Source organism: Homo sapiens, chromosome 6 (genome assembly GCF_000001405.40).
Source record: "Homo sapiens chromosome 6, GRCh38.p14 Primary Assembly".
Classification (NCBI taxonomy): Eukaryota; Metazoa; Chordata; class Mammalia; order Primates; family Hominidae; genus Homo; species Homo sapiens.
The window spans coordinates 93,762,260-93,775,773 of NC_000006.12; the positions used below are offsets into that span (position 1 = coordinate 93,762,260).

At 33.4% G+C, this 13,514-nt stretch overlaps 1 long non-coding RNA gene across 1 annotated transcript in view; it reads left to right on the forward strand.

Annotated features, from left to right (window-relative positions):
• Positions 1 to 13,514, forward strand: part of TSG1 (tumor suppressor TSG1) — a 72,604-nt gene that overhangs the window by 58,243 nt on the left and 847 nt on the right. The window contains exons 8-9 of the long non-coding RNA NR_015362.2: positions 3,756 to 5,957; positions 12,969 to 13,080. This is a non-coding gene — a long non-coding RNA (tumor suppressor TSG1). The remainder of the gene's footprint in view (positions 1 to 3,755; positions 5,958 to 12,968; positions 13,081 to 13,514) is intronic.

A 13,514-nucleotide genomic window follows, 5' to 3' on the forward strand; every position in this document is an offset into this window, starting at 1 on the left:
TACATCATTTTATATCCTTTCATATAAAATCTTTCCCTGTCATTTTGTTTTATGTGTAATTCTAGTGTACATCATATTACAGATTTCTATTTTTTAGTTCATTTTGAGAGTTTTTGTCAACTGATGACATTGGCTTGTGTCTACTTATTGTTATTACTGATGTATTTGGATTTATTTCTGCTGTCATATTTTGTAGATAATAAATATGCATTGTTTTTGTTTCCTTTCTTACTTTTTAAAAATTAATAAACATTATTTTTCAGAAAGTTTTAGGTTCACAGTAAAATTGAGCAAATTACAGAGAATTTCCATGTACCCTCCCTCGGTCCCCAGTTTGTGGATTGTCTTCTCTTTCTCTTGACATTGTCTTTAGCAGAATGGAAGTTTTCTATCTGAATGAAGTCTTATTTACCAATTATTTCTTTCATGGATTGTATTTTTGGTATTGTAGCTAAAAAAATCATCACCAAACCCAAGATCATCTAGATTTTCTACTGTGTTATCTTCCTACAGTTTTATTTTGTATTGTATTTTTTTTAGTTTTGTGGGTTGCATTTAGTTCTATAATGCATTTTCAGTTAATGTTTGTGAATGGTGTAAAAGTTTGTTTCTAAGTCCATGTTTTTTTAATGTAAATGTCTGGTTGACCAGGTCTTGTCTTTGGCCCTTTGTCAAAGACCAGTTGACTAGAATCACATGGTCTATTACCGGGCTCTCTATTTTGTTCCACTGATTTATTCATCTATATTTTCAACAACACTGTCTTGATTACTATAGCTTTATACTAGATCTTGAAGTGCAGTAGTGTTAGTCCTCTGACTTTGCTCTTTTTCTTCACTATTGATTTGGCTAATCCGGACCTTTTACCTTTCATAGAAACTTCAGAATAAGTTTGTCCACAAAATAACTTGCTGGGATTTTGATTGGTATTGCAATAAATCTATTACTCAAGTTGGAAAGAACTAACATCTTGACAATATTGAGTCTTCCTGTACATGAACATGGAATATCTCACCACTTACTTAGGTCTTCTTTGATATTGTTAATTAGAGTTTTGTCATTTTCCTCATGTAAACATTTAATATATTTTATCAGATTTATACGTAAGTGTTTTATTTGGAGGATTGATGTAAATAGTATTTTTTTAATTTCAAATACTGCCAGCTCACTGCTTGTATACAAGAAAGTTGTTGACTTTTGTGTATTACTGTCTTTGATATTTTTCACCTCTTTATCACTCTGTGTTTCACCTTGGTAAATTTTCCAGGTTTTTAAAGGTTTACCATTTTCATCCTGAATTGTTCCTTAAATGGTGTTTATCCCATCTAATGAGTTTCTCAGGAAACATGAAAATATTGCTCTTTTACAAATGGTCTTATACTTTCTAAATGTCTTTTTTATAGAGATTTTATTAAAACTATTTTATTAACTATTTTAAGCATATTTATTTATTTTATATTGTTTTTTATTTTTTTGTACTGCATTGAGTTCTTGGGGCTGAGTTTGCCATATTTGTTGAGTCTGTTGATTCAGGGGCCAAGTAGATTGTTCTCTTTTACATTTTGTAAATTTTGTCATTATATTTTAACTTAACTTTATTTCTTAGTATATGTGTGTGTTGGTATCCCTATAGTATTGGTTGTGGAAATTATCTCCTGAGTGCCTTTTCTATGCTTCTGCCAAATATCCCAGATTTATCACTAGAGGGTACAAATTTTTATCATTAATTTTTTATTGGAGTTATGCAGACCTCATGGATAATTCTGAACCTAAATCTATTCAAGATAAAGTTTTTGGATTTTGATTTCTCAGAAGAGACATATTTTTGTTTTACCCAGGGACAAGGCAAAATAAAATAATATTATTATCTTTTATTTGAGCCAATTGTTGGGTATATTTTCCTACTTTCCTACAAATGTTTATTTATTTATTTATTTTGAGCACTGACTATTTAGGAGCTAATAAACACCCAGACGTTAGCTCCCATATGAACAATAAACAGAATCCCTATGTTTTGAACACCAAATTTTTCTGAAACCATGGACAGTTTAGAAATTGTATTTCATTTTTTCCTACATTTTTCTCTTCAATTCCCTTCCATTTTTAGCAACTCACACTTGCATTCAAAATTATTTTAATTAATTATTTTCTTTCAAGGATTTCTAGTTATTTGAGCAGATGGATTTTACATTTTGTCCATCTGCTATTTTGATGGAAAGAGATATAATACTCAAAATTAGTGGACATCCTAACTAGAGGAAGAACCAAGATGATCACATAAAGCAATGCTCCCAAACATCTATTGTAGCCCACCTATAAGGTAATAATAAATCTATAGCTTACTGACGTGGACCGTATAAGCTTCTTTTTACTTTGTGGCAACCAGCTTAGGCATCTGGCCACCCAATCTCCATTCAGCTATGAGGGAGGCTGGTATCATAACTCTGCACTCCTCTAACCTATTTGTAAGCACATTGTGTTCCTCAGCACACAGGTTAGGAAACCCTGATAAATAAAATTAATGTCTTATTGTCTTCATTTTTTATAATTTTAACAGTATAATATCTTAGCATACTTGTTAAAACTAAAATTTTTATACCTATATACATTTATACACACTAGAAGCATAGTGTAGCAAAAATTGTATTTTCCCCCATTCTCTACTATGAATATTTTCTTAAAAATACCAATTTATTTTATAACATTTTGAAAGAAAAACAAGACATACAAAATTAACAATAATCCTAATACCAAAAGACAAAAATTACTTGTAACTTCAGTTTCTGACATGCATATCTGGTACAGAGTGTGTGCTCAATAATATTTATTTACTTGAATGAGTTCAAAATTTTTGTAGAATTTTAAACAACATTTTACTTTGTATATTTAATTACATATAATTGCTGTCTTTGTACATGTAAGTACAGTTTTATGTCCAGCTGTATTTTCTTTTTCACCCAACATTCTAATGTGATTATATCAAGATACATTTGTATGCACGTGACAGAACAGGAAATCAAACTGGTTGAGGGGGGAAAAAGTTAGTTGTTAGAAAGATAAAAGCTTATATCAAACAACTGAAGGAAATTTTAACCTTCGGTCTCTGAAAAGATGAATGCTCTTACTTAGTTTCAAGAACTACCAGACACTCAAACCATCGCTGGAATCTCTCTGACATGTTTTTGATTCCTCTTTGTATATCTAGCTCAGGCTGAACATCCTATCTTATAGCTTTTATCGGCAAAAAGAACTATTTATGATTTCTCTGATCCCACATTTAAAAAAATAAGTCAGAACAGAATTATGATAGATCATTTCCCAGAACAAAGTAGACATAATTCTATAAGAAAAGGATAGTATTTGAAAGGAACAGCAATATATGTGTTATCGAGTGTAACTTTAATTGCCAATTTAAGCTTTTTATGGTTTTTTTTTTTTTTTTTTTTTTTTACATAATGGGCATTGTAGTGGATGCCCCAGAATTTGCTTACCTATTCTGTTTCCAAGTAGTACATTGTTCTTATATTCAATGTTGTAATAGAGTTTTTTTGGTTGTTTGTCATTATCTTGTACAATTCCCTTAGAACATATTTTCAAAATTAATTTCTGGGAAATACACAGAGAATATACAATAAATAATGTATTTGAGTTTATGTACATCTTAGCCTTGATTATTATATTTTAAATTTTCACTTGAGTGTTGATATTGACTTTCTCTCCCTCTTTCCCTATCTCTCTTTTTTTATGTTTTTTAGGAGAATGTTTTATCCAGTGTTTCATATCATTGGCACAACGAACATCAGTAAAGATGGAAATTGGTTTACTATGAATTGTAAAGAAATACTTTTATATACTGAAACTCGTATTTATATTTAGCTTTGTGATACCAGATGGAAGTCTTGCTCAATGACATATATTTAAAACAAATGAAATAAGTTATATTACATTGACCATATGAAATTTATTATTGTTATAACTTAAATGTGGTTAACATCAGCAATTCTATGTGGCTAAACCTAGTATATCAGTTAGGAACTTTTTTAAACCTGAAAATAGAAGAATAACTGGACAATAGTAACATAAAACAAATATAAGCAAATTTTTTTCTTACATAACAAGAAGTCTGGAAGTGGTTGCAGATGTTGGTTTTAGCAGAACAATGTTTGCAGAGATACAAGTTCCTTCTATTCCTTTTACTCACTGTCTTATGTATTTCATTTGTATGCTTGTTCACCTCACATTCACCAAATTGCTGTTATGACTGTAGACAACATATTTGTATAATGGGAGAAGATAGGGTCAGAAGAAGACCATGGTACCAGCTCTGTCTATTCCTTTCTACCAGGAAAGAAAATATCTTTTTCTCAAAATTCCCAGTATACCACTGTTGACAACTCATTGAATAAAACAGTGTTGTGGTCACATTTGTCTGCAAAGAAAGCAGGTATAATAAGTATTTAGCTGGGCACATTGTAGTCCTGAGCTTTAGTAATTCTCTTGGTAAAGTATATAAAAGAGAAATAGGGATTGGGACTGTAATTCACAGGGTCTTCCACAGGGTATTTTCTTACTAAATTCAGTACTATGTAAAGCCAGAACAACTTCAGAATCTCTACATTACAAGAAGTATTAAAAAGGACTTTAAACATCATAAGCATGATCTTTGGTCTTAATAAGCATATTAATAAAATAAGTATAAGCATAAGTTTAAATATTAATAAGCATAGGCTTTATTATCTTAAACATTGTGTATGACAGAAGAGAAGTTTATGCAATTGTTTCCAGAGTTGGTACACTTAATGGTACCAACTTTTTTTTCCTTATTGAAACTCTGTTATGACTACTTTAAAGACAATCCTGCATAGCGGGCATCTAGAATCCGCTAATAGCTGGGTGACCACTGTAGTTCATACCTGACCAAACATCCCTGAAGAAATTATGGAGCTGACTCGCCAAAAGTCAATTTGCATTAGGAACTTTGAAGCCTCCGGAGAAATGCATACTATCCTCAGGGTAGAAATATTCAGATATGAGAAGCTTGGCCTTAAAACAAAGCCTTTGTATTGGGATGGAGTGGTGAATCAGATTCTAGCACTGTTCTGAAACATGGATTTGTTCCTCCATCCAACGTGACTCCTTTCCACAATTAGAGTCATTCATGTCGGATCTTGGGGTAGAGAGGGCAGGGCATGATTTATACATGAGAAATGATTTGTAAACAGTTTGCAGTCATACTCACTAAATTCAGTTATTGGAACCCAAGTAGCTTCGTTAGTAGAATGTAGCATAAAAATGAGGGACAAACATTCTTCTCCACTCAGCAGCACAGTATTTATGAAGAAACATATTGCTTCTAATGTAGCAGGCAGTGGCAGTGCCTGGTGTACATATAGATCCACAAGGTAAGCTGCTGTTCCTGGCGTGAGTAGATACGCATCAGTCTAGGCAAGAATGCCAAGTGTAAGAGGAAGGCTCAGAAACCACAGCTGTACCCAACACAAGTGACACTGGTCAAAAGCAGAGCCCAGCATGAGAAACTGTGAGAATCAGCAGAGATGGGACTTCTAAGTGGTCATGGTGCCCTCCAGGAGATTGAGCTACAGTTAAAAAGTAAGAAGTAGAGAATGCAGTGTGATAGCTGATTAGTAAACTTATCATATTTGTTTGTGTGTGGGTAGTATGCTCTCGAGAAATTCTTATGAGCACTTTTTCAGTAGTTATGACTTATCTTTAGCACCTGTGGGCAAGAGTCATTGGAATATACATTACATCTACAAATGAATATTTATCTCTGAGATGAGCTGTTCGCAGTTTAATAAAAGTAGGACAGAATAACAGCAAATATTTGGCTTTGCGTATATGTCTGTGGATCTATTGCAAGGTCTTAAACATTTCCCATTCTTGGTCCTGGAGCCCTTTTTGCTCTCAGATGGATTCTCAAACAAGAAATGAAAAAGGTAAGGGAGCTAAAAGCAATTTAGAGTATTTAAAAAAATACCCATTATCATTCTAGAACAGGAGACAGCAAACTTTGTTTGTAAAGGTCAATGTAGGAAATACTTTGGCTTTGTGGGCCATATGGTGTCTGCTGCAACTACTCAACTTTGCCATTATAGCACAAAAACAGCCATAGTCAATACCTAAACAAAAGCATGTGGCTGTGTTCCAATAAAACCTAATGAATATTGAAATTTATATATCATGTAATTCTCACATGCCACAAATATTCTTATTTTGATTTCTTTCAACCATTTTAAAATATGAAAACCATTATGGCCGGGCGCGGTGGCTCACGCCTGTAATCCCAGCACTTTGGGAGGCAGAGGCGGGCGGATCACGAGGTCAGGAGATCGAGACCATCCTGGCTAACACGGTGAAACCCCGTCTCTACTAAAAATACAAAAAATTAGCCGGGCGTGGTGGCGGGCGCCTGTAGTCCCAGCTACTCGGGAGGCTGAGGCAGGAGAATGGCGTGAACCCGGGAGGCGGAGCTTGCAGTGAGCCGAGATCGCGCCACTGCACTCCAGCCTGGGCGACAGAGCGAGACTCCGTCTCAAAAAAAAAAATAAATAAATAAATAAATAAATAAAATAAAATAAAATATGAAAACCATTCTGAAGCTCTTTAGTTATACAGAAACAAATGGCAGGACATAGGCTCTAGCCTGTAGGCTCTAGTTTGCTGACCCTTGTTCTAGGAGCATAAATTAACTCATTTGATGTCTGTAAGAACATAACAGAGTGGAATAGTTACAATTCCTATTATGCATATAACGTATATATTATATATATACTGTTTATATATATTATATATGTATATATGTATGTATTATATATTATACATACATATATACATATATAATATTATACTGTTTATTCATATATAATATACATATTACATGTATTATTATATGTACATTATTTATACATATTATATGTATTACTATTATATATTATATGTATTATTATATGTATTACATATATTTAATATGTATATGTATTATATATTGTATGTATTAAAACTATATATATGTATTATATGTATATACAATATACATATTATATATGCATATATAATATATAAATAAGCTATATAAAAATATATATTTATATATAATATATAAATATATAAAAATATAAATAAATAAAATATAAATAAAAATATATATAAATAAATAATTATATATATATAAACTATATATATAAGTTAAAAAATTATATATATATAATATATATATATAAATAAACTGAGGCCAAGAAAGATTTGCTGTCTGACTTAAGGACACACAGTAAGTGGTAAAACCAGTATTCATACCAAGGTAAGTCTGATAAATTTAATATTCTTTTGATATATGGAAATTTCTATTAAGTGGCAGCGGTTTTCTAGAGGGCTGTGCTGAGATGGACAGCAAGGTCTTGCTATGGCTCAGCAGCAAGAAGCATAGCGATGAATTTGCAATATCTTCTGTGAGTAGGAGAGGTAAGGGTGGCAGCAGCTGCTGTAAATAATTATTTCTCCATCTCTAACAGGTGAAAACAGAACTAATGATGTTTTCTGATTTTGAGAATTCCAGAATGATTAGGGTTTCATCTGCACTACTAACAACTTCAGCTCCAAAGAGGACTTTCACAAATGAGCTGGTTTGTGTTGAGATTTCCAAGTGCCTGCATTTTGATCATTTTATCACACAATAGTGGCTCATGCTGTCCCCACTATGACTTCTGTGTCCCCACACCTCTTCTCTGGCTGCCGCTGCCATTTTGGTCTGCTTACAGGTGTGAGATTTGATAATATTCTACTGCTTCTGATACTATATTTCTATCTTGTACATAGTTTAGTCCCAGGCTAACTTTTTTTTATTATTATTATACTTTAAGTTTTAGGGTACATGTGCACATTGTGCAGGTTAGATACATATGTATACATGTGCCATGCTGGTGCACTGCACCCACTAACTCGTCATCTAGCATTAGGTATATCTCCCAATGCTATCCCTCCCCCCTCCCCCCACCCCACCACAAGGGGAATATCACACTCCAGGCTAACTTCTAAAGGCTGGCTGGAGACAATCTTCCAGGATGCTGCAGACTATTTACCTAGAAAGTCCTCACTCTTTAATGGTTCCATTCAATGCTGATGTCAAGAAATTCTGTGTCACATCAAGACTGTCAAGACTGAAAGTAAGGGGCAGTGTGGAGGAAAGTGTTGAAGGAAGGGCTTCTCAACTTTCTTTTTTGTCAAACTCATCCCTATTCTTCTTTTTCTAGGCTTATGTAATTTTTGAATTGGCTTTTTTGTTGTTGCTCAATATAATTGTTAATCTTTGGTTTATAACAACTGGTAGGAGTCCTCATGTGTGCTGGGCTTTAGCTTTTAAAACTCATGTGATCATATAGGGCCCACTGAATAATCCAGAATAATCTTACTACCTTGTGGTCAACAGAACTTTCATCTTAACAACATCTGCAAAGTTCCATTTGCCATGTCACTTAACATGTTAATAGGTATAACACAGGGGTCAAAGGCCATTGGGAACAAAGTTCTCCCACCACACAAGTGTTTATACAATATGACAATAACACAGATTAATATGTAGCATAGTAAATTCTCAACATATGTGCAGAATAATCTTGCCTTGAACATGTACATCTGGTCAGTTGGAGAAGTAGAAAAGCCTCTTTAGACCTTGCTTAGACAGTGTCTGACTTTAAGTTACATGATTTAATCTCTCAGTGCCTCTGTATTTTTATCTTGAAGCAAGAATGATACATTTTATCATACCTAACTCACTGGACTGATGTAAACATTACAGGAAGTAAATGAATAGTAAACTTACTATCTCAAGAATTTAGTATCCGTCTTTTATTTTTCATCACTGAGAACAGATCTTAATTAGAATCACAAATCTTCATTATAAAGAGGAAAGGAAAAAGTAAATGTCTAGAATAGTATATATTTAAAATTATTTAACTCTAATGAACTTTCAAAATCTTATGGAAAAACCCATATGGTGTGTGTAAGTGCAAATACATGGAAAAATTCGGATGAGGAATCTATTTCTTTTCATGTTTTATTGTGCCAAGAGATAATGTAGTGCCTCGTTCTGAAATCTCATCTATCATACTGTGTTCTGTAAAGTGACAGAACATGATATGACATATTGATGAGCCCCAATGTGACACAAAGCATGGTTTGTGGTCTGCGTGTAGGTAAAGATAATTAGAAAAACCCTGGAAAAGAGCAGTTTTGGAAGGATTTAATGAAGAATTATTACGATAGATAAATAAGAGGTAAGACTGAGCATACCTTTTTAAATAAAATAAAACATACAGGATATCAGATGCTATCATCCTGACCCCCAAATTTTATAATTATGTTTGGCATTTAACCTTTACATATGATTAAGATAGCAAACCTTATACCCACAGCATTCCCTTGTAAGAGGAGAATATGGTGATAGGAGGTAATTGAATTTTGTTCTGACCTGGTTTGGCCTCTGTGCGGAAGCAATTTGTGAATTATTTAGGAAAAAAGGAAAAGTATATTGCCTCAAGAGAGAATGCTGGGTGCAAAGAAGAATTTAGTTCAGTTGTGCTGTCTCTTAGAATACATCTGCTTTCCTAGCTTGAAATGAAAAACGAAATGGAAATTTCCATTCATCCTTATGCATTAACAAGATCCCTTCTTTTCACTGCCATGCTTCATATGTCCCAAACTAGACCAATGGTGGATCTAAAACTTTACAAATCATGCTGGAAGCTTTGTTATTAGGATGGCAATCTATGATTGAACCAATAAAGGGAAGTAACTCCACTGTAAATAAATTTGGCATGAATATTTGGGCTTCACAAACCAAGACTAAGGTACATTAAGAACAACATTAAGTGCAGTTGTTAATCTTAGCAGTTCTATTGAGTTATATCTCCTTATATTTATACAATTTTAAAAAGGAACTATGGATTATTGGCATTAGAATAGTGATGAAATGAGAAAAATAATTGCTTTTTTCATTCTTGCCCCTTTCTTTGTTTTTTAAAGTCCTATTTTATGTTGCGATTACATAACTTACTGTCTGTGAAAATTTTAAAAATGCCAATATTATCATTGTGCTTTAATACAAGTCACAAATATATTTAAAGAACACCATTCTCCAAAGATTATAAATATTTTACTTTTTATTGCCATCAATGGTATTGGCATGTATGTGAAAGCCAAAGGATCGGAATGAAAATGATTTAATAAAGAAATTCAAAACTAATGTAAAAAATGAAATTGCAACTGGGCTGTCACGGCCTTAGAGAGTTGAGGGGTCGGTATGAAACATTTTGTTTTATTTCTAAAGCTTTGATTGGCCTGCCAACATGCATTTGTGCTGTCACTCTGAGGGCCCTTCTAGTAGCACTGAAGTGGCAGGCAGCTCTTGATTGATGAGTGTTTGCATCCATTTTATTATTTGTTTTATATTTCTTCCCTGACATGTTTAACTGAAAAAAAATCACACAAGAACCTTTGCAATTATGTGAGTCAACCCACATCAGAATTCCATTTCGGTGTATTTAGGAAACTGCAGCAAAAACAAACATACATACAAACACCACAGGTTACTTGGAGATAAGAAGATGATGTCAGTTCTGTAACATTATTAATATATTCCTGTTCAAGTAAGAGGCAACAAAAAAATCACATGCCAACAATTTTTTAAAAAGTTATAAGTTAGGCTAAAACTTTCTGAAATGGTTTCAAACATAAAACGATGTCTTTGGTAGTGAGCCATTTTACTATTTCCCCACCGCAATTTTCACATGCAAAGGGGAAAAGACCCCAAGATTGAGACTTTAAATTTCAGCATTTGATTGCATAAATATTGGTAAGCAGTGTTTAAAGGCTAAAGTGGCCCTGTAATCAAAGACTCAGCATTCTCATTTCATGAAGTAATACAGGCTTGTACAGTGTTAATGTCATAAGTCTGAGATTGGCTCAATATACAGATTTGAGCATACATATTGGCATTAACTTGGTCCTTTAATTTGTGCCACCTGGCTGAATAAAAGGCATGAAAAATATATTCACCCTTTGATTTTTTTCTATCCCACAACAATGGAGCCAGTTTTTTTTTTTTTTTTTTTTTTTAATCTGTTAGGGCTCTGTGTTTCACTTAAAAGGAAAGCAACTCAGACTGACTTAAACGATACATGACAAAAAAAGTGGGTTTTGTTTTTCTGCATTTGGCTGATTGCTTTCGGCTTTTATAACTGGAAGATCCAGGGATAGGGTGGAAATCAAGATTGACTTGCCTTAACTGCTCACGGAGTCATCACTCTGCAGGCCTTGTGCAGGGTCAGCTTATCGTCAGACTGACTTCTCTCGTAGTGGTAAAATGACAGTATAGATTTAGACTTTACATTCAACCACCCCACTGTCAAGAATTACTCACAAGATGTCTTCTTTCTCAGAATCCATTAAAAAATGTAAATGTCCTATTTGGGTCAGATATTCTTTCTTGAACCAATATAAAAGGGAGGTTGACAATGACCAAATTCCAAATACAAATCAAAATCAATTTAAGAAAATTTTAAGACCCGTGAGTTAAGAATTAGTACTTGAGGCCGGGCGTGGTGGCTCATGCCTGTAATCCCAGCACTTTGGGAGGCCGAGGCGGGTGGATCTCAAGGGGAGATTGAGACCATCCTGGCTAACACGGTGAAACCCCGTCTCTACTAAAAACATAAAAAATTAGCCGGGCGTGGTGGCGGGCGCCTGTAGTACCAGCTACTCGGGTGGCTGAGGCAGGAGAAAACCCGGGAGGCGGAGCTTGCAGTGAGCCGAGATCGCGCCACTGCACTCCAGCCTGGGCGACAGAGCGAGACTCCGTCTCAAAAAAACAAAAAACAAAAAACAACAAAAAAAAGAATTAGTACTTGATTATGTTGGTGAAGAAATCTTTGTGTGAGCTGAATTAATCTTAAAAGGCTTCTAGGAGCAAATTTTGTTTTTAAGATATATTTAAATTATGGGCAAAAAGAGTGTGATGAACTGGAAGGGGCAAATTGGAGTAATGCCCCCTACGTCAATTTTTGTACTTACATTTGAGATATATTTAAAAATAGATACCCCACTGAGCACTTATTTAAAGCCCTATGCTAAGCTCTTTATATATATTATTCATATCACACAAAGACCTTTTCTAGAATTAGATACTATTATCCCTATTTAGCAGATGAGAAAACTGGGTTTCAGAGAGGTTAAGTGACTTTTCCAAGATCATTGTTAGAAAGTGATGAAAAGTAATTTGAATTTATAACTTCTAATTTGATAGTTCATGATCATAACCATTACATTATTATTATGCTCACATTTTTTGGTTTATAGGTCAATCTCTTATTTTGTGATCTTTAATATGTTTATTATTTATAGGTCAATCTCTTCATTTTTGTGAAATCCCTAAAGGCAGAAAAAGCAGGGAATCTTTACTGCTCAATTCACTAACCTCTCTGTAGTATCTAAAATAGTGTCTGACTTATAGTAAATGCTTAATTAATATTTAAAAATTGTTGAATAAAGGATTATATCTTTTGGGCTAGAAAATGACATTATTGATTACCTTAGGCCAATTCTGGAACTGGTTGCTACACAAAAGGGGAGAGATAAAATTTATCATAAAAAAAATATATATAACAACAATGTCCGCTACAATTCTTGGAAGAAAATTCCAAATTTGGAGTCTGGCACCACATTTTATTAACTACCTAACTAAAGTGTGGTTTTCTGTACCTCTGTTTTCTTTTATAAAATTATGGAAATGTATAGTGCACATCTCACTCTCTTATTGTGAATACTGTGAAGATTAAAAAAGGTAATATATGTCAGTTATCATGCAATATGCCCAGCATAAGAACTCACTGAATATTAAATACTATAATTCTTATTGTTACTAACTGTCTTTTCCACTTCATTATCATTCTTATTAGCATCATCTCCATGAGATCAAAGTGTTCCAATTATATCCTGAGGAGGCTGTTGTTTGATCTATTTTTCAACTGTAAGATGGTCCTTAATAACATCAATAATATGTATTAATTGGTAAGTATGGCCAAGAAGACTATTTGGGCTGATTTGTCCTAAATCAGTTACTTTCCAGGGACTTCCCTCATCAAAAGTCATGTAAAATTCAATCTAATGAGAGGTTTGCCAAAGAATTTACAGGATGCCTTTGGTATTCAAACAGAATATTCTTGAATCTGATATAGCAAACCCAGGGAACTGAAACAAATTACTTAATTTTTCAGTTTCTGGAAATTTAGAACTTAGGAATTCTCTGAAATACATTTTGATTTTGAAGATTTAATAAAATTGTATTCCTTTGTAAGACTGAGCTTACATTCATCTCTATCTTAGAAATTGTTCTTAAACACTTTTCAACCACCAAAATGTTAATACTTGTACCTTACATTTGTGACCACTTATATAGAATCTGATAGTATTAGTTGTTTCATGTGAATGAGTCTTATTTTTCT